General features: G+C 34.2%; 1 long non-coding RNA gene across 1 annotated transcript in view; it reads left to right on the forward strand.

The window, feature by feature from the left end:
• The window catches only part of LINC02301 (long intergenic non-protein coding RNA 2301), a 64,194-nt gene that overhangs the window by 21,098 nt on the left and 19,258 nt on the right, over nt 1–23,838 (forward strand). The window contains exons 3-4 of the long non-coding RNA NR_146650.1: nt 21,651–21,702; nt 23,585–23,640. This is a non-coding gene — a long non-coding RNA (long intergenic non-protein coding RNA 2301). The remainder of the gene's footprint in view (nt 1–21,650; nt 21,703–23,584; nt 23,641–23,838) is intronic.

Consider the following 23,838-nt stretch of genomic DNA (forward strand, 5'->3'; position numbering starts at 1 on the left):
CTTTTCTTTTCTTTTCTTTTTTGAGATGGAGTCTCACTCTGTTGCCCAAGCTGGAGTGCAGTGGTGTGATCTCGGCTCACTGCAATCTCTGCCTCCCAGGTTCCAGCGATTTCTCCTGCCTCAGCCTCCTGAGTAGCTGGGAATACAGGCGTGCACCAGCACACCTGGCTAATTTTTGTATTTTTTAGTAGAGATGGGGTTTCACTATATTGGCCAAGCTGGTCTCAAACTCCTGAACTCATGATCTGCCCACCTCAGCTTCCCAAAGTGCTGGGATTACAGGCGTTATCCACCACACCCGGCCATATGTATTTTTTATTTATAGACACATACATGTTTTATATATAGACACATTATACACACACATACACACACACATACACATATATATATATGCAAAAAGAGTTATTTTAATGTATTGACTCACATGATAATGCGGTCTAGGCCGGGCGCAGTGGCTCACGCCTGTAATCTCAGCACTTTGGGAGGCCCAGGTGGGCAGATCACGAGGTCAGGAGATCAAGACCATCCTGGCCAACACGGTGAAACCCCGTCTGTACTAAAAAAATACAGAAATTAGCCGGGGGTGGTGGCACATGCCTGTAATCCCAGCTACTTGGGAGGCTGAGGCAGAAGAATCGCTTGAACCTGGGAGTCGGAGGTTGCAGTGAGCCAAGATCACCACTGCACCCAGCCTGGTGACAGAACGAGACCCCCATCTCAAAAAATAAAAAATAAAAAATAAAAATAAAAATAAATAGATAATGCAGTCTAAGTCTCATGATCTGTTGTCAGCAAGCTGGAGAAGAAGGAAAGTCAGTGATAGAGTTCTAAGGCCTGAGAGCCAGAGAGCTGATGATGTAGGTTTCAGTGTAAGTATGAAGACCTGAGAATAGGAGCTCCAAGGGCAAAAGAAGATTGATATTCCAGATCCAGCAGTCAGTCAGATAACCAGCCAATCATCTTTTCCTGTACATTTTTATTCTAATCAGGATCTAAATGGACTGGATGATGACCACCCAAATTGGGGAAGGCAATCTATTGAGTCCACCAATTCAAATGCTAGTATCTTCCAGAAACACCTTCAAGTGCACCCAGAAATGATGTTTAATCAGCTATCTGATTTCCATGACCTAGTCAATTTGACACATGAAATTAACTATCACACCAAGTCTGTATCATAATTTGTAAAAGCCCATGAAAGCTTTACATTATCATATTTCCCTTAAGGCTCCTATATGTTCTGTACTATATACTTAATATTTACTTGGATTAGTAGGAGTGTGCTGGGGAATCAAAATTTTACAGTGGACATCTAGACTATTTGCATTTAAATCTGCTATTACTATATAAAACATGAAGCTGAAAATAGACTTATGGGTCAGGTTACTTTCATCTTCAAATAACAATAGTAAGACTTAAGCATCTAGGCATCCAGATCCCTGGTTTTATTGTACCTTTCATATGATGATCTTCAGTATATTGTCTTTGTAGTAGATTGACCTCTTACTGGCAGAAATTGATGTCAACTCAGATATGCTGACATAGATATATCTGTTCCCTCATGCTCCCAAATGGGCTGCCGTAGTGGCATATATTGCTTCGGTACGCACTGCAGCCAGAGCTAGTAGAAACTGGTTGTTTTCTTTATCAACAATGCTATGGAGTTAGACTAAGAATTCAATAGTATTCCTAGTTACATACCATAATACTCTTCCATTTCCAATACTGGATGCCCATTGACATGGATTCTGCTATCTTTGTATTATAGTGATTCCTTTTTTGATGTTAATAGGGTTAATAGATAAACAAGAGGTGCATACCAGATCAAATAGCTACCTATCCACAAGATTACTCGGAAAAGCACAGGATTTATTTGTTACCTATGCAGCCAAAGTTGCATACCCTTTAATCACATCATTCTATCACCAGTATTATTGAAACCACAAGAAAGGTAAAAAGACATCTTTATAATTAGGGGCATATTAATAGACATAAATATTGACTCTCTGTTGTGGGCCTGAAGATACTTTAGTCTAATTTTAGTGACTTAGGGAAAATGTGTGACTCTTTTAAGCTCACAAATAACTGTACATCATGGATTTATTTTCAATGATTTCCAGGTTTAGACATTTCTGTTCTCAGAAGGTTCCTGCAAAGTCAACTTCTGTATTCAACATAAAGTATAAATTTCACTTTACTTCCTCATATACGGAAAATTTCTATATTGTTATTTCAAGTGACAGGCAGTAAATTGGCAAATTCACAGCCCAAGATCACAGTAGCCCTAACTATATCAACCTTTTTATTCTTGATATTTCCCAGAAGGTCCAAAATTTGTGTGTCTTTTTAGTGGAATTGTTATTGTTTGTTGTGTCACAACAAACAAATGATACCAGTTCTCAAATATTAAGATTATATTGCTTCAAATAGTGACTTTCTACCAATTAATTTATTCAAATGGAACTTGGCGTAACCTTAACAGATAAAGGTCAAGAATATATGACGAGAATATATTTATCAGTGATATGATCAAAGGTTAAAAAGTTTAATGAGCTGAGTTATGAGGAGATATTATAAGGCAGAAATAAATTGAATATGAGTAAAAAAATCAGTAAAGTTCAGTGAAAATCTGAAGAGAAAGTTAAATAGTCACGATATGTCTACATTCCTATAGTGTTATTCTTAACCAAAAAAGTGCAAAACATTCCAACTGAACATTATTAAAAATATGTACATACTGTTACCATTTTACTCTGAAATACGTCACCTTATAGCTATGACAAAGACCTGAAGTAGATTAGCAAATAACATGACAATGGGCAAAAAAGAGACCATTTTAATGGCATGACCAATTACATTTCATACAAGACCTAGGTAAATTCAACAGCAAGAATGCATGAAAAATCAGAATTATCACCTCTTTGTCATTTACCAGCACAAAACAACCATGTTCCTCAAGAAATAGAGACAAGATAGAATCGAATTTGAAACAAGATACTGCGTATAAATTATTCCCATCAATGCCTTATGAGTCTCATTAAGTTTTCTCTCTAAGGAAGGATGATACAATCATTTACATCATAGGATTTATTCAATTTTTTGCCTATTCCATTTTCATTATTATTAATCCAAGAAATCTGGAAAAGATATTACTGTTCCAAGTTGCTTTCACGTATGACTAGCTTAACAATAGGAGATCTCAGATTGTTTAAGGACACATTTTCTTTTAGATAAGGCAACATTTTCACAGAATTCTTTTATCAGACACTTGGCAATTCCTCCACCTTCTGAATAAGAGCCTTGCTCAGCATATGTGGGAAATGAGACACTGCACACATTGGTTAAACTAGAATTCAAATAGTTAGCCAACATGTGGAAGACATCAGCAAAAGTTATTCCAATGATCTCACATTGGCAAATATGGTACTCTGACTGGTTCCAGAATAAACAGATCATTCGACTTGAGTGCGCAAACCCTTGTGTGAACACATGTAGACACAAAGGGCTTTGAACAGAGTAATAGGGCAGAGCATTAGCCCAAGAAAGATGGAAGATGTGAAACTCTGGATGGTGATACTTATGAAAGATAACCCACATCATTGCTCAAATAGCTGAGTCATAAATACGGGAACTCGGTCAAAGGAAAAATATTGTAGGGGAGAAGAATAGGAAGTAAGGTAGAATTAATTTCCCACCTCACCTAAACTCCATTCATATGCATGATGAGCCACACTAAAAATTTAAGAATTGAGAAAACTTGGAATGTAAATGAACTTTTGTTAAAATTCACCTTGATAAAACATACAATTGGGGTTGCAGGTGTGGGAAAGGCCGGACTCAAAGACATTGAATGTTTAGACACGATGATACTGGTCTTTTATTTCCTGAAGGCATTTGGCTGCCTCCTTTCACTGACAAGCTCCCTAATAAATAATATTAATGTGAGAAGAAAGATACTTGTTTATTGAAAGTCCCGACCAAAGAAGCAGGAAATACCTTGGGTGTAGCCAGTCTTTGGACATTCGTCAAGAACTCCTGAGAGTTAAGACAGAGGTTTGGCTTCATGCAAGATCTTTCTTATTTGTTCTTATTTGGAACATTACTTTTGATTTAGAAAGTCAGTTACTAATGTTACCAAGACTAAGAAAAATATATATACCACCCTTTCCCCATTTTTCTTTTCAAAATATCCAAGTTATATTTGCACATATTTGGGGAAGAAATTAAAGATTAAGATTGCTGTTTGAGACTTTTTCTGAGTTGTAGAAAATAACATTGTACCAAGAAAAAAAAAGAAAAAAAAACATTAAGTCTTTCTGCAGTCCCCACATAAAGTCATTCACTTAGTGATTTTAGATTTAATTCAGCCAATACTGTCTTAACACTCACATGAATTTATCTGTTCAATGGAGAGTATAAATCATCATAAATATTCTTAATAGGAGTTGGGCCAAAGGGCTTATTTGAACTCAGTTAATTAATTTTTAAATAGGGCACAATCTATCAATGAATTCCATATTTTTAAAAAAGTAAAGTTTAGTCACAAGGAAATTGGATGTGGGTGAGAGGACAGGATATTTATTTATTTCTTTTGGGTTTTATTGTTTTCATTCTGTTTTTCATTAATGTTGCATAAAAATATTATATCGAAAACATTAAGTGCAAATTAACTTTGCTCCTTTGCTAAACTTCTAAAATAGATGTATTAGTTAAGATTCCATTCAGTGGGGTGTAAGAGACACCCAGAGTTGTTATGGCCAAAACAGAAAAGGAGTATATTTATTGCCTACATAAGTGAAAGTAAGCAATTCCCTATTGCATGTAAGAGCTGACGGTGAAGTTCTCAGAGACATAGTTTCCAGCTGACCACTTCACAATACCTTAGGTATTGATCTTATCCTAGATTGTGTAATCTGGGCCTTACTCTGCTAAACAAAGATAGAGGAAAAGAAGAATAAAAAGAAGCAGCAGCAAAGAACAAGCAACAAGAGGACCTTAAAGATGATTTGAGAGGATGACATAAAAAATTCCCATTTATGTGCTATTGACAAGCTCTTAGTCTTGCTGCAAAGAAGGCTGACAAATTTGTTCATTATTCTAGGTGTCTTAAATTCTATTATTATAGAAGAAGGGCACATTGCAGAATAAATAATTATCTGTCTATCCCATAATACATCTTTTTTGGAAGCCTGTGACAGCAATCCATATTTTTCTCTCTAACAATCCAACAAAATCAACAAGCATGACCAGCACAAACAACAATCTGACATAGTTATTAATATTCCATCAGAGAATAAATAGGTAAATATATTTTTACTGTGATATGTGACTTATAAATTCTAAAGAAATAATAGAATGTACCATAATGTTCACTTTAATCTAAACTTATTTGCTTTTCAAGTCCCTTGAACAGATTTTGAACAGATTTTGCCTGGGGATGCTTCAGATATGTTTACTGAGTTAGTATAAAAAACTTTAATAATCATAAGATCCAAATCCCTAAATTGGAATTTCTTTTAGGTGACATATTTTCATACACGACAGAAATGAGATCCAAAGAGTGAGTTAATCAAAATCACATAAACGCTTGTTGATCTTCTGAATGTGCAAGCTGAGGACTTTTATACTTTTATATTGTGACTTATTTTTACTGTGTAAACCTGAATGTCTTGAATTTTTCTAAATGTTCTGAGTTTATATTCCAAATTTAGAATATAAAAAGATAGGTAACATGCAAGCATATAAACCAGTAAATCAAAATATAGCTGTATTTGGTGCCCCTAAGTCTCAAAGTATATTATTTTTACTATTAATATTTGTCCAATGACTATTAAATAGTGGCCAAAGAATTATCAAAACAATAAATAAATAAAGCAGTGAAGAATGAAGTTCTTCATTGTTTCTGAATCAAAAAATCTTTAATGTTTATGCTCATAATTTCAAATTCACCTCGGCTTAGGAGAGTGTTACAACATTCAGGAAAAATCAAATAAAAAACCATATGTTTGTCCATATGTGTGGAGTCAAAATGTCATGGGAAAGTTGGAGCTTTTAGAAAAGGTGGGCATTAATCTTCTTGCATAGGAAGTATTTTGATGAGGTTTGATGAGGTTAATGAGATTGACTATTGCCTTAAACATTCTTTCTTCAGTTTTGAGTTTTAACTATCTGTATTTTTGAAACCAGAAGGAAGTGGTCTTAAAAAACAAGAAAATGAAATGAGGCATATTGCCATTTTTTGTCAGGCCAGAAACAAAAGTACATCTTGGAAGTACAGGTCATGACAAAATATGTTTTATTTAAAGCATGTGACTTAGGAAAGATTATCACATTAATAGAGAGAAGGGAACAGTGGCTTGCCTGATACATTTATATTTTCAAGGACAAGAGCAGTAGTAGAAAAATGTGTGAGTGTCTCCTCCTTCCTGCTGGATAATTCTGTTTACTCTTTTCAGAGACTAGATTCTCTCATCTGAGAGGAAGAAATTTAATATGTCTAAGACCTAAGCACCTGTCAAGCTACTCCAAAAGCATTTTCTAAGGGTTCTCAAAGGAAAACAACCTAAGCTTGTATTAAAAACTCTTTTAATTCCATATTCCCTTCTGATTGGCAGTAAGCAAATTAAAAATGTTGAGATCATTAGTATTTGGTGAGATTCAGTTGAGATTCAAAATGTAAACCAGTTGCCTTATTCAGTATACTTTATGGTGAACATTCTAGAAATAATCTAAAACTATGAGAAAAAATAGACCAGATATTGTTTTATGAAACTCACTAAGGCTTTTAAATATGTATTGAGAAAATTATGTATTAAAAGAGGAGAAGAAACAATCTGCCTTGTATAAATGCATACATTTGAGGGTAGCTTATGCTAAATATGTTTGATATAATGAAATTCTGCTGATAAAAAAATTCTCACATATTAGTTACAAAAGTTAATTTATTTTAAAATAATTCACTCAGGGTAAGTTTATTGAGAAACTATGTTGTGCTATTTACTCTAATAGGTGCTGAAGATTCAGTGGTGACCATTTAGAATATGTCCCTGCCACCAAAAAACTTATTTTCAACTGGTAGGTGGGGGGCAGGGGGATAATAAGTGTACATAAAGTATTTAACAAAGTCAGCAGTCATTAGTAAACATTACCATTATAGTAATGATAATAATAAATATTACTATTATTGAAGTTGTCTATGAGGATGAAACAAGAAATGTAATTTCAGGCTGAGGGGGCCATTTCAATTTATGCCTAAATAGATCTTTATTGTGCAGTTATGTAGTGTATTGTTACAGATGGGATTCATTGGAGATAAGAATATGAGATAGATTCACATACAAAGTATTTATTGTGAGTGCTTTTAGAATGAACACATGTGATAAGGAGAAAGAAACCAGTTGAGAAGAGAACAAAGTGGGCTGCAAAAAAGTTATAGCTTCAGCTGGTTTTATGGGGCACTCTGAAGCCAGAGTGTTACTCCAGAGTCATTGAAATTGGGACAGGAGAGCCAGGTTTTGTCATCATTGCATCCTTCATTCATTGGTTACACACAATTAATGGAAAGGAAGCATGACCTTGGGAAAGATGGTAGTCTTCAGACAAGATAAAACCCCAGAATGTTGATGGCTGAGGGCTTTAGCCAACAACAATTTCCAAGGAGAATAATTTTTCAGTCTGCAAGCAGATCTAGATGACACAGCACATTGCCCGCTACAGCTCACCCTTCATGTTGCCTAGATCTATTTGTATAATTTCTAGCAATAGTTTCTCCAGGCCTCTTGAATGATTTTTGAGGGAAAACAATATGAGAGGAAGGTTTGTGCAAAAAACTGTAACTCCAAAGATGGAGCTGGTCATAAGGCCACAACTGATATTCAGTATTTCCTCCTTTAGTGCCATTTCTAGATTTAGCTTGTGCTGTCCCTCTATTGATCTGGGGGACTTACCTAGTGGGGGGTGATGCAGAGCTTCACTGACAATGATCTGAGCCCTTGTCACGATGTTCTCCTCAGGCCATGCCTGCTACATTTGCACATTTACCAACAAAACTGGGGAAGGGAATGACACAAGGCCCTCAAATGGATCCGCTGAAAGCCAATTTTCTCTTTGACCCCATTATATCATAGAAAACTCACTTTAGTTTCATCCTAGATTATGTGTAGAGAACAAATTACAGGCAGACAAGGATGAAAGCTGGAATGGTTTACTATTCAAATACAGAGAATAACATGGGTGCTTAGGCCGAGGTGGTTGTAATACAAATGGTGAAATGTAGTCAAATTCTGTATACTTTCTGATGGCAGAGCCAACGAATTTGTTGATAGAATGGGTGTGAGTTATAAGATGAAGATCAGAGTTGTGAATGATTGTTTTCTAAAATGGGAACAAGTTGAGGACTAGATTTTTTGGCAGGAAGCTGCTTTTATGTACCAAAAGATTCATCTTAGAAACAAGATATTCTATGTTCCTATAGAATGAGATTTTTACTTCAGCAAAATATTTGACAATAATACTAATCATATTCTCTAGTAATAGTCTGTGCAAACTAGTTGAATGATATCAGATACCCTCATATACTGGGTCTATTGGCCAAATAAATTTCAAAAATGTTTTAGAAAACAGAATAAGAAAAGAAATTCACAAATGACTCCAGGAGACTTCTTTATCTCTTATTAGTTTTCTACTTATGTTTTCTGTTCCAGTAATACAGAACAGATAGTAGTAATTGAAAAGATCATGATATCTTTAAACTTTATGCAAAACTCTTCATTCCTTACAATCTGCCTTCAAAACTTGCTGTGATTTTTATTCTTCCAGAAAACCTTTCCGAACATCTCTATGTTCAGTCTTTTCTGAAGTTCTTAGGGTTGGGATACTGACATGTTTCATGGCATTTTTCTGATTGTATTGTGATTGAATTATCTCACTGGATCTAGAGCTTCCTGAGGGCAGCCAATTGATCTGACTAGTGCCTAAATCTCCGCTACCTTGGGCATTTCCTGGTACAAAGAAAGCACCTAATACATATTTGTAAAATATATAGGTGACGCCAATTTTGTTTTTAAAGGAAAGATTACTTCTTACTACTTTAGATTGTGTTGGACAAATTACTTGGGAGTCAAATACAGAGCAGGTGTAATTGTTCAAAATAATTACATAAGTAATTAATTTTTAAAAAATTTCAATGAAATACATTTCTAGAGATTCTGATTTTGTATTTTGAAATGGGGCCTCTGATTATTTTGATGTAGATTTTTGATGGACTAAACTTACAGACTCACTGGCTTACAATTCTCAGAGAAACTAAAAAGCAAAAAAAATCTCCATCTAGCCAAGTAAAGTAGTATAATTGGCAGTTGGAAGTCTAAAGATGAAAAGAAGATTTGAAACCTGAATTATTATTTTTATTATAAAAGGTCAAAATGTACTTACAACAAAAATGCTTTTAAAAAGAGCTAAAGTAGAATTGCATTGTGAGTAATACATAAAAGATATACCAATTTTACATTCTTATACCTACAAATTCAAGGGCTTTAATTTGAAAAAGTTCAATTAGCCAAAATATATTGACATTTTCCATTGTTATTGTTTTTAGCCATCAAAAATTTATGATTATATAAAGGATTTTAATATCTAGGCCCCATGCATTAGAGTTAAAATTTTAATTTTCACTAATTTCACAATGAGATAATTTTTTTAAAAATGATTTAATGTTCCAAACTCTGAAAGATTGGCTTTATACATAAGAATAAGGACTATATCCATCAATTTCTTTTTCTTATGGTGAAGCACAAATGTCAGAACTCCCCAGATAAATTTATGACTTGATTCCTGTTAAGCTTGAATTGTCTTCCTATTGCTTTTCTAAGAAATAAAATAATAGTTTTTTCTAGAGGAAAACATTCCTAAAAACTGGGTGTTTTTCAAATCTATCTCTGAACCAGAGAAGAACTGACAAGCATAAGTACCCAGAGTGAAAACACATAGAGATTTATTAGACTCTGTTTTTAGCAACATGGGAAGACACGAAATTAGGATATCTCTAGGGAAAATTGAAATGCTATATGTGTTAATATTTCTAGTTCTTTCTATCAGCCAGTTCTTAGTAAATGGCTATGAGACTTTAAGTGCTTTAAAGTACACAAAGTACTACCTCTAAATGTAATGTCTTTGGCAGTTAAAAAATCTGTTATTTTTTCAAAAGAACAGATCTCACGTTTACCCTTGCATTACTTGAACTACCTTGAGTTGCCAATAAATTGAAACGAATTGATAAATATGTGGATAACTGGCTGGAGCCACTCAGATATGAGTATTATCCAAATCCCTTTCCAGATGTTTTTTATTTATTCTGCAATACACGGGCAGGTTCCATACATCTTTCCCAAGGCAAACAATCATTTAGCAATATACCACCATCATACATTGCTGTAAAATCCCAAATAAGTAAATGGGAAATAGGAATATAATTTATGATGGCTTTCTCAGTAACTCATTTTACTACTTTTGGTTTATCAAGTCAGATTTCAAATGACTTTCCTGCATCTAGTTCTTTTCTATTTTATTTCCTCTTGTAGCTACAGGCAAATTAATCTTCCTAAAACTCCACTTTGATCATGTCACCTTATATTCAAGAATCCATATGACTAATTGTGATGGTTAATACTGAGTGTCAACTTGATTGGATTGAAGGATGCAAAGTACTGATCCTGGGTGTGTCTGTGAGGGTGTTGCCAAAGGAGATTAACATTTGAGTCAGTGGACTGGGAGAGGCAGACCCACCCTCAATCTGGGTGGGCACCATCTAATCAGTGGCTATGACAACTAGAATATAAGCAGGCAGAAAAATGTGAAAAGAGAGACTGGCCTAGCCTCCCAGCCTCCATCCTTCTCCTGTGCTGGATGCTTCCTGCCCTCGAACATTGGACTCCAAGTTCTTCAGTCTTGGAACTTGGGCAGGCTCTCCTTGCTCCTCAGCCTACAGATGGCCTATTGTGGGACCTTGTGATCATGTGAGTTAATACTTAATAAACTCCCATATATATATTCTTATATATATATATCCATATATATATTCCTATATATATTTCCATATGTATATTCCTATATATATATTTCCATATGTATATTCCTGTATATATTTCCATGTGTATATTCCTATATATATTCCTATATATATTTATATATATATTCCTATATATATTCCTGTATATATTCCTATATATATTCCTATATATATATTCCTATATACCTATATGTATTCCCATATATATATTCCCATATATATATTCCCATATATATATTCCCATATATATATTCCTATATATTCCTATATATATTCCTATATATATTCCTATATATATTCCTATATATATTCCTATATATATATTCCTATATATTCCTATATATAGTCCTATATATATATTCTTATATATAGTCCTATATATAGTCCTGTATATATAGTCCTATATATATAGTCCTGTATGTATAGTCCTATGTATATAGTCCTATGTATATAGTCCTATGTATATATTCCTATGTATATATTCCTATATATATATTCCTATGTATATATTCCTATGTATATATTCCTATGTATATATTCCTATATATATTTCTATGTATATATTCCTATGTATATATTCCTATGTATATATATATTCCTATATATATTCCTATGTGTATATATATTCCTATGTGTATATATATATTCATGTATATATTCATATATATATATTCCTATGTATATATATATTCCTATGTGTATATATATTCCTATATATTCCTATATATATATTCCTATATATATATTCCTATATATATATTCCTATATATATATTCCTATATATATATTCCTATATATATTCCTATATATATATTCCTATATATATTCCTATATATATATTCCTATATATATTCCTATATATATATTCCTATATATATTCCTATATATATATTCCTATATATATTCCTATATATATATATTCCTATATATATATTCCTATATATATTCCTATATATATATATTCCTATATATATTCCTATATATATATATTCCTATATATATATATTCCTATATATATATTCCTATATATATATTCCTATATATATATTCCTATATATATATTCCTATATATATATTCCTATATATATATATTCCTATATATATATTCCTATATATATATTCCTATATATATATATTCCTATATATATATTCCTATATATATATATTCCTATATATATATTCCTATATATATATATTCCTATATATATATTCCTATATATATTTTCCTATATATATTCCTATATATATTCCTATATATATATATTCCCATATATATATTCCTATATATATATTCCTATATATATTCCTATATATAGATATTCCTATACATATATTCCTATATATATTCCTATACATATATTCCTATATATATTCCTATACATATATTCCTATATATATTCCTATATATATTCCTATACATATACATTCCTATATATATATTCCTATATATATATACATATATATATTCATATATATGTATATATATATATTCATATATATATATTCATATATATATATTCCATTAGTTCGGTCCCTCTAGAGAACTCTAATACATGAATCATTACTTATAAATTAAAAGATTTATAAGTAATTGTAAATCTTTCCTGGTCATACCTTTAATCACACTATCTATTCATTCTTATCATACTTTCTTATTGAACCTCAATTGGGGTTGATTAAAAATCATGGCCACAATGTTTTACATCTTCTTCTATTAAGAAGTAGCATCGTTTCCCCACTCCTTGAATCTGGACTGCTGACATAACCTGCTTTCATCAATACATACAGTAGAAGTGATATTGCACAACTTCTAAGGCTGGGCTTTAGGGCCTTTGAAGATTCTGTGTTTATCCTCTTAAGATATGACCCTGAGAATGCCCCATAAGGAAGGCAGTCTAACCTACTGCAGGAGGAGAGGCCATGTGGAGGACAGATGAAGCATGCTTGCGGATGGCCAGTACCAATTGCCAGATGAGCTGACCCTCCACCTAAGCACAGCCACAGGAGTAAACCCAGGTGAAACCAGAAGCAAAACTGCCCCTCCTGCCCCCAAAATTGTGATGACAATAACAATATGAAGTTGTTTTAAGCCATGAAGTATTTGTTGGTAAGTACTGGTAGTTTCTTACCAGGAAAAGTAGTTGATGCATCAGGCATGTGCTAGAAGCATTTCAAAGTGCTAGGTATTCATTAATAAGAGGTAGACAAGGACCCTCATTTCATAGAGCTTAAAGCCTAGAAAGTAGAGAATAAGGATATATATAAATAAAAAATGGACTAAAACACCATAAATAAGCGTTTCAAGTAGTGATACATTTTTGCACAGGAAATTTAAACAGGATATGTAAAAGAGATAGAAAGAAGGCAAGGAAAACACGTTTTGATGTAATAAATCAGGAACCCAGCACCAAGTCAGGCCCATAAAAGCCTTTTCATTCAGTGGCATAATGTTTTAATTTTGTTTCTGTTGTTTTGCTTTTAATAAATGTGAATACTTTTAACTAAAACATGCCCTCTTAATGTAGATGATAATCTTTCACAGGCCCTAGTATCTTACGTCTAGACACTTCATATATTTTTTTATTCTTCTGGTTCTGAAGGTGCCTTTTGTCTAGAATGTTTTGGTTTGTATAATTCTGCGCAAATACACCCTGGTGTTTCTTTATCTCTACTTCAACAGCTCTGCTCCACCTTTAAAACTCAGTAAAATCTCATTTTTTTCAATAAAACCACCACTCCGTCCCCCCAAGCATAACCTCAAGAGAACATTCTCTCTTTGAAATTGTAAAATTACAACATCCTCTCTCAGTAAAGAGCGTAACACCTATTTTGGTGTTATGGCGGTTCTGGTGAAGATTAGAGATGATTTGTATAAACTTTTCTGCATAGCACCTGCCACAGCACAATTAAAATAAATGATAGAAATCATCATCGCTATGATCATCATTATTGTTATTGTATTGAATCCCCTGCTCATTCAAATATTATTTATTTAGTGCCTTTAATACACCAACTATAAGGCTAGATGCTGTGAAGACAGAAATGAGTTATCTTTCTATCCTAGAGAATTATGCTGGGGTGTTGAGCAGAATCGGTGCAGCACTTAGATCAGGGCACCTTGGGCTTTATCCTGAGTCCTATGCCTTGGAGAAAGAGCTCCTGTCTTTCTCCAAGCCATGCCCCTCCCCATGGGGTCAGTAGTCTACAGGGCCAAGAAACATGCCCACCCAGTTGCCCCTTCTAGACCAGGGCTTCTCAAATTGTCTATGGTGAAGAACCAGTTTTATTTTGTCCTTTAATTTCCAATCTGCTGTTTACAAAACTTTTGTAAAATATAATAAAAATTAATTACTAGAGAAATGAAACCTTAAAGGTTGCATTCGTAAAATGCAACATCTAATTTTTTATTGTTAGATCCAACAAAAATTAAATTATTTTGCCAAATTGCTATCAAAGTTTCTACATCCTTACATCAATTCCTGCCCTTATATTGTTGCAGAACAATAACAAACTTTCCACAAACTGACAGTAGTTTGTAGACTGCATTTGAGTAGCACTGTAGCAAAAACTATGTTTAGGATCCTAGGACTCCAGAATTTCATTGAAAAATAAACAACAGTAACACATGTTTGGGTTAAGAAACCATAGCAGAAAGGCAGAATACAGAATGAATTTAGGAATTATTACTGAGGTAGAAATGGAGGGTACCTAATTCTGCCTCTAATATTTATTGGATTTTTATCATTTAAGTTTATCCTAAATAAGAATCTCTTTGTGTGCCTGTAAGATGTGGCAGGAATTAGCACACATTTGTGCTTAGACTAGCAGTAGTATAGGGTCTCAATGGTAATTTAGGACTGTCATACTCCCTCACCTCACACCAGTTCCATCATTTCTCCATTGTTCCTGTTTATGTCTCTCTCTCTTATCTTCCTCACTTACCAGAAGGTAAGAACTACTTGTTAGGTCCTTTGAATTCCCCATACCGCAGATTACTATTCCTTGCAGACAGTCAACATGGAAGGCTATGAAAAGTGAAAGGCTGGAGTTCCCGAACTGTGTACCAAATTCATTCCACTATGCCCTGATAAATTTATAAGGTCACTATGGGAAAGTTTAAATACCCCAGGGAAGTACAACAACAACTGTCGGACACCTCAGAAACTATTAGGTCTAAGTAGCTTATGGTTTCAAAATGAGATCACACTGCTTTCCTTTTGATGATGCCATAACTATGCAAAAATTTTGGAGGTTGCTAAGATACAAATTAAGGACCATGTGAAAATCAATGTGGAACAAAAATTATGCTGATAGGATCCAATCTGATTCCAAGCTTTGAGAAGCTGTGTAGTGCCCAACAGGTATACACATCTCATTGTGGTATGTGATTGTGGTTGTGTAAACATGAAATAAAAATATTTTTTCATTGAATTTATTTTTTTTTAAATGGCTACTAAGTTCAGAGGACATAAATGCTAACTAACATTCTTGGACATAACTACTTAGTGAGTGAAACTGTGTGGTGTGGTATTTCTTCTGGACTGGGGCATTGTAAAAAATTAGTTGAATAGTAAGGATGCCATAAACCAAGAAAATCAGGGAGTCTCTTGTATAAGATCTTTAAATCTCTCCTTTATTGCTTAATGATTGCAAGGGCATGGCCATTTTTTTGTCAAATAGGGCTTCTCGTATTATCTACCCCCAAGGTTTTCTATAAGGATTAAGTAAAATAATTCTTAGATCATTGTCTGGTATATAGCAAGCTCTCAATAAATGTTAGCTATTATTATTTTTTGTTTTCAACTCCACCTCACATATTTTCAAGGCACCAAGGTACTTCAGAAACCCAGTATCACAGCTAATGTTTTGTGGCTTAAAAAAATCCCTCAATCGGTGGGGTGTGGTGGCTCACGCCTGTACTCCCAGCACTTTGGGAGGCCAAGGAGGGTGGATCACGAGGTCAGGAGATCGAGACCATCCTGTCTAACATGGTGAAACCCCATCTCTACTAAAAATACAAAAAATTAGCTGGGCGTGGTGGCGGGCGCCTGTAGTCCCAGCTACTTGGGTGGCTGAGGCAGGAGAATGGCATGAACCTGGGAGGTGGAGCTTGCAGTGAGCAGAAGTCATGCCACTGCACTCCAGCCTGGGTGACAGAGTGAGACTCAGTCAAAACAAACAAACAAAAAAAACCCAAAAAAACAAAAAAACTCAATCTATTAAAAATATAAGTATATTCTAATAGAAACTATAGGTACCCCCCCCTACCTGTTATAGGATGAGATAATTAGATGAATGGATGCATTAGACTACATTTTTCTTGTTTTGTCATTTTCCATTTTATTTTGAACAGGTAGTTTTACAGAAACTGGCAGATGTGCTGCTAAGAACACAGCTGGATAGAAATATATTATGAACAAAGCTATAAAAAGACAGCTTCTCTATTTGTCTGAATCTCTCAGCTACATGGTCAGTGATGCTTAAGGAAGACTAAAAATACGTATAGCTATAGCTTTATGGAATCGGCAGGCAGGACGCCATTAGTATGACAGCATTTTGCTTCAGCCTCAGGTAAAAGCAACTGCCTGCTTGAAATCCTTTCCTGAGAGTGAATAAAGCAGGTGGAAGTGGAGAAGCTGAGTTGATATTCAAGCTTACTTCCAGGTGGGAGAGGTCAATAAGGGTAACCATAAAGCACTCTCCAAGCCAGAGCCAAACCACTGCCTCCTGCTAAAATGTGTTCTCTTTGCAGCTGTTTCCATGTATTTATCAATCAAATAAAAAGACAGTGCCAAAGTGTAACTGTCCACCAAGACCTCTCTTTTCCTCATCCTGCTGAATTTTCTTAAATGTCCTCTTTCCTCTCCAGGTTTACATCTAGAATATGTGGTCGCTTATGCTCTTGCTCATCCCATACCATGTCCTTTTCTTGACTTTCTAAAGCAAGAGTCAGCAAACTATTTTTGTAAAGCGTAGGAGGTTAAATATTTCAGGCTCTGTGGGCCACACAGTCTCTGTTGCAACTACTCCAGCTCTGCCACTACTATACAAAAGCAGCCATAGACAATATACACATGAATGCTCTTCCAGCAAAGACTTATTGACAAAACCAGGCAGTTGTTTGGACTAGGCCCATGGGTCATAGTTTGCCAACCCCCGTTATAAGGTAAAAAAGAGAATCTAAATGAGTGATATGACTACCCAAATGGACTTAGGGTTTGAGGGTATTAATGCAATTTTATTTATTTATTTATTTTTATTATACTTTAAGTTCTAGGGTACATGTGCACAACGTGCAGGTTTGTTACATATGTATACATGTGCCATGTTGGTGTGCTGCACCCATTAACTCGTCATTTACATTAGGTATATCTCCTAATGCTATCCCTCCCCCCTCCCCTCACCCCATGACAGGCCCCAGTGTGTGATGCTCCCCTTCCTGTGTCCAAGGGTTCTCATTTTTCAATTCCCACCTATGAGTGAGAACATGTGGTGTTTGGTTTTTTTTGTCCTTGTGATAGTTTGCTGAGAATGATGGTTTCCAGCTTCATCCACATTTCTATAAAGGACATGAACTCATCGTTTTTTATGGCTGCATAGTGTTCCATGGTGTATATGTGACACATTTTCTTAATCCAGTCCATCACTGATGGACATTTGGGTTGGTTCCAAGTCTTCGCTATTGTGAATAGTGCCACAAGAATTGAAAGCCAAGAAGCCAATGACTAATTCTCATTAATTCACTCATTCTTACAAATTGCGTTGCTTGTATGCTATAAACAAAACACTGATTTGAATAAACTCCAGTGCTGCATTATATCCATGTTAGCATGGAATGTTTATTTCCTACTCATGATGTTTTCTCCTGTAATGAAAGAGCTCTTTCCTCTCATTCATTCTTCCCAAGAGTAGAGCAGTGGTTTAATATGATTAGTGATTTTGAAATAAAATAATGGGCATGTATAGTTTAACACCTTTCTCTTGCATTATGTTTGGAAGTGAGTTGCTCCAGAAAACTAATACTCTTTGCTTCTGGAGAGGGAGGGAGGATCTGCCACAATTATGTGAGTCTGCCTGGTTTGGGGGATAAGTTTTAGAGAGCTCATATGCCTTCAGATACAAGGTATATCTTACTATTTAAACTTTATCAATCATAAGGGTGATATTTTGGTGCCCATAGGGTTTACCCTTTGTCTTGTTTCTTAATCACTTTGGAACTCTGCCAAGAAAGAAGGATACTCTATAGTGGGCTGCTTTAGAGACCTCAGAATTGATCAAAACAATCACGGCCAGTGTTCCCAAAGAAACCACAGAGGGGCACAGGTATTTATTGAGAAAATTAAAGAATTATAAACTGATAAGAACCTAATGGTAGAAATCAAAATAGCCAACAGGGAATATAACAAATGGATGTTGTCTAGTCTTGTGAGTGGGAAGGTAGTGAGAGTTGTCAGAAACAGACTCTATGAGGAAGAAACATTTGAGTTAAGCTGCAAAGGATGAATAGGCTAAATAGGCAAGAATAAGGCTAGATGGCTTTCTGAGTATTGAAAATAGCATGCAAAAAGGCTCTGATAACAACAACAAAAAAATCATATTTCATGGTCAGTTTTGCTTAAAAGTTGGGCAGAGATAAGAGGTGAGAGATGATGGTGAAGATGCAGAAGGAGCCAGTTCTTGGAGGTGCTTATAAGCCACTTAAATATTCCAGGTGTTATTTAAAGAGCAATGGGGAGCTATTGAAGTTTTAAGTTTTTAAATGGTTCTAGATAGTACCATTCTCAGATCGAATTGAAGAAATACTCTAGATACTTGGACAAATAGAGTTTAATTAGGAGCAAAAGTAGATGGCTATTGAAGATTCAAAGGCCTAATGAATAATCCTTAAGCCCCCATCACCTTTTTGTTCCTCTTAACATTGCTTGATGGTCTTGTTTTATATTTTACTGAGAAGATGAAAGAAATCAGCTGAAAACGTTCACACACCTCTATTAAATTGCCTGTGTCTCTATCTATGTTCTGTTCCTCTCTCTTTGAAACTATGGAGAAAAGTTTTATCCTTCTATTTAAGACTAATTCCACTATCTGTTAATTAGATCTCATTCCCACATACCCCACCAATCATCAGCTTTTCCATTTATCTGCTCCCTTTATTATCAAAGTTTTAGAAGTTAACTTTACTTACTAACCACTTTTACTGCTCCAGTTTTCTGTAGAAAACTCCAGTGATGCTTTAATTTCTACCAATCTAACCGCTTTTACGAAAGTCACCAATATCTGCATTAAAAAATTCAATCTTATTGGACCTATCAGTATTTGAAATATTTGATCACTACCACCTTCATGAAACACTTTTCTCTCTTAGTTTCTACTTAGGATTCTACTTCCTCTTCTTTTCTCCTCTATATTATTGGCTGATCTTTCTGCTTCAATATCCAAACCTTTAAAAATTAGAATGCCCCAAGGCTGAGTCCTTACATCTTTTTTTTTTTTTTAACTTTCCTTCATTTCCTTTCCCTTTCCTTCCTTTCTGTTTTTTTTTTTTTTTGCATTCCTTCTCTGTCTAAATAAACTTCCTTGCTATTTTCATTAACTCTCAAGACTTCACATATCATTTATTTTCTGTTAACTTCCAATTTAAATCACATCCCCAAATACTAAACCGATATGCCCTACTGCTTGTTCAAAATTCAATCTCAATTGATCACTTATCTTCCCTACATATTATAAAAGTGCCCTTCTCATAGAATTTCTCAGTACATGCAAACTCTATTTCCTCTATTTCAGACCAAAACCTCTTGGTGCTCTTCATTCCTCTATGTCTCTCCCATCCACATCCAATTCACTAGGAAATAATTTAGGCCATACTTTCAAAATGGGACCAGAATCAAATGACTTTTCTGTTTCTCCACAATTACCTCCTGGTCTCAAGTCAATTCTCATATCTTTCTAGACTCTACATGCTCTACCCTCGAACTGTTCTCTTAGCTTCTATCTTTGACTCCCTACATTTCTCCACATACAGACAGGAACATCTCTGAAAAAGTGAATGAGAAAATGACATTTTTGTTCAAACCCTCAAGTGATTTTCTGTCTTACTTTGAGTAAATTAGAAAGATCTAACCCTAGTCTACCAGGCCCTAAATGGTCTAGCCACATATCCTATCACACTTCCCCTCTCTCACTGAACTGCAGCTATGCCGGGATCTTTGATGCTCCTTGAACACATCTCTTACCTTGGAGTCCATATACAAGTTGTTTTATTTTCTGAACATTCTTCCACCACATAGCTGTGTTTTTCTCTTACAATGGTTCAATATGATATATTTTTTCTTTCTTTTTCTTGAATTTTTAGTTTTCTTTTAGTGATGCTTCATGGTAAGACATATTTAAAAGGTATTTTAGGAGACACTTATAAATTAGTTACATAAATACACATATATAAACCCTAATACATTACAACAAAAAACTACAAAACAAGGTGTAGAGTCATTTTTACTATGTGAAATACTCACTTGAAATTTTCTTTCTGGATTCTACTTTTTTATACAATTTATTACAAATGCTGGCCTTCACTCACTGAATGGATTATGTGACTCTAATTTTCAGTTTAAAAAAAGCTGCCACATAAAATGATATGTGTCCAATGGTAATTATTTATTGGATTTATTCTGCTTTATTGTTTGTAATACCACTTATTTTCATCTGATATATCAGATATTTACTTATTTGTTTACACCCTGCACCCTTGCCCCACTAGAATAAACACTCATGAGTGCAAGAACTCTGTTATCTTCAGAGCTGTGTGTTCTGTGTCTATTATTACAATGACAGACACTTAGTAGGGCCTCTATAGACATGTGTTGATAAACTGAAACATGAAAGTATTCATGAGATATTTAGTAGGTTAAACTGAAAAACATTTGCAATAGATTAGATTTAAGGCATTAAGAAGAAGTTGCAAGAATCTGCTTTATGATTCTATCTTACAATTAGTTAAATAGTGATTCTATTCCCCAAGGGAGAATATCCAGCTTGGGACAAAGGATCTGCAGGACGAATATGATTTTAATTTTGAACAAGTTGAGGTTTAGTTGCTTTGGAAAATCTAAGTGAAGACACCGAGCCCTAAATCACCTGAGTAAAATCTGCACAAGTTCTAGTAAAGATATTCAAATCCAAAAGTTGAAGTTCAGTATGACATTTTAGTACTTTTTTTCTTTCCCATTTCTCTTTCCCTCCAGAGCTTTTTTTTCTTAAAAATCACAAATCTAAGAATATAGATTACCTCCTCTTCTACATGTTTTGAAATATGAGGTTATACTTTCTCATTTAGAAGCCACAGAAAATCATATTAAAAAAAATTTAACTTTTATGGCTATACACATATATAAGGAGAAGATGAAATTTCCTCCAATTTCCCTGACAAAACATATAGGAATTCACAATATTATTGTCAGAGAGATATTTGACTTTATAACTCAGAAATTGGATGGGGCAGATATGAGATAAATCAGGGCCAGTGACTTTTCAAGCTATTGAGATGAATAAATTTTACTGAGTTCAGGCAATGTTATTGCAGGGGCTGAAATCCTGGGCTTTCTGGGCAGAAGGATCTACGAGCGGGATCGTGGGTGAGTCAAGCAGTGGTATCCTTGGGTCTAATAAGGAAGGTGATCAATATTGTCTTTCAAGCCCAGCCACCATCTCCAGGGCTATGCCTCTCTCCTGTCTAAGCTTGCTCTTAAAACAAAAAAAGTTAGAAAAACAATAAAAATAAAAGACTTTGTTGAAGATAACTTGTGTCAACATTCTCTGAATGTTCAATAATAGTATTTATACATTATAGAAAATATAAAGTTTTGATTAAATATGCTCAAGAATTGCAAAGTTAAACAATCATATAGGTTGACTTACTACAGAACTCTTCAATATATGACAATGTGCATTTTAAGTCTCTGAGAAAATTATCTAATATTTAGATTATCCAAAACATTTTTGACAATGAAATCTTTTGTTTTTTCAGGAAACATTTTAATAAATAATTTATGGGACATATTATATTTTTGAGACATACTGGTATGAATTATTTTGTGATGGCTGCTATATTAAAAATAACATTCTTGAAAATGGAAATATCACCAAGAAAGACCCGGATTATTGCAAAAAGATCATTGGGCTTAATTTTCATTCTCAAGTCAGGCAGTGAACATTGTGGCTTTTTATTTGTAAAAAGAGATAGCAGTTATCCTTGAATAGAGAACCAAAAAGAAGAAAATATTATGTTCCGCAGAGTTACAGAGTGTTTATAGATCTGAAGAGATTTAATTTGTGAGTATTTATTTTTCCCTAACATTTTTCCCATTTCATTTTATTCACCTTTTTCTCTAAACTTAAAAAGCACTGATGAATCACTCATTCTCATTTAACCCAGGAATTATTACCAGGGAACTCTTTCACATCTCACAATGGAAACCATTTAAGACCTTCTGCAATATTTATAATTTGCAAACACAGCTTTCTAAATTAAGTTCAACTTTTAAAAATATCTATGGCTAGAATTTTAATGGCTCATTTGCGAGAAAATTTTCTTTATCTCAATTAAGGCAAGATTTCTTACCAAAGCTACCACATTGTTTCTACCCCCTCAAGCATTTATCCACCTAGTTACAAACAATCTAATTACACTCTTTGAATTATTTTTAAATGTACACTTAAGTTATTATTGACGGTAGTCACCCTCTTGTACTATCATCAAATAGTAGCTCTCATTCATTCTTTCTATTTTGCTGCACCTTAACCATCCCCACCTCATCCGCACCTCCTCCCCACTACCCCTCCCAGACTCTGGTAACCATCCCTTTATGCTCTATGTCCATGAGTTCAACTGTTTTGATTTTTAGATCCCACAAACAAGTGAGAACATGCAATGTTTGTCTTTCGGTGGCTGGCTTATTTCACTTAACATAATGATCTCCAGTTCCATCTGTGTTGTTACAAATGACTGGATCTCATTATCTTTTATGACCAAATAGTACTTCATTTTATATATATAAATATATATATATGTATGTGTGTATATATATACACACACATATATGTACATATATATGTGTATATGTATATATGTATGTGTATATATATATAAAACATTTTCTTTATCCATTCATCAGTTGATGGCAACTTAGTTTGCTTCCAAATCTTGGCTATTGTAAACAGTGCAAAGGTACCACATTTACAGAGTAGATAAGAACTGGAGTACCACCTGTATGTTTCTATCTCCACATTTTGGGTAGTCAGATCAAAATGTACTCATTAGACATAGAAACGATCTGGTTGCAGAAGGGAGGTTCGATCACAGGACTACCAGGAACTTTGCTATTGTTGTTACAGATAACAGTGCAAAGATAACAGTACTAAAGATATTTCTAAAATTAGTGCTTGGCTTTACTTGAGTTTTTCATGAAAATTTGAGCAAGATGATTAAAGGGGGAAAATTGGTGTCTCTTTTTTAAGGTGAAACATGAAGATGATGGTGGACAGGTGAGCTACGCAGTTCGTGGAAGAACCAGGTACGTACCATTGCTGTAAAGTTTTGAGGTAATTTCAATGCTATAAATGCTGTAGCATATTTAAAATACTGTTGTTATTTTCTAACTATTCAATAATGCCTAAACAAGTTGCTACATAGGAATCATCCTGTACTTAAAAAACAAAAACACAAAAAAAAACCCTCTGACTGTTGATAAACCTGTATCCAACCATAGCAC

The sequence above is a fragment of the Homo sapiens genome, chromosome 14 (assembly GCF_000001405.40).
Source record: "Homo sapiens chromosome 14, GRCh38.p14 Primary Assembly".
Taxonomy (NCBI): domain Eukaryota; kingdom Metazoa; phylum Chordata; class Mammalia; order Primates; family Hominidae; genus Homo; species Homo sapiens.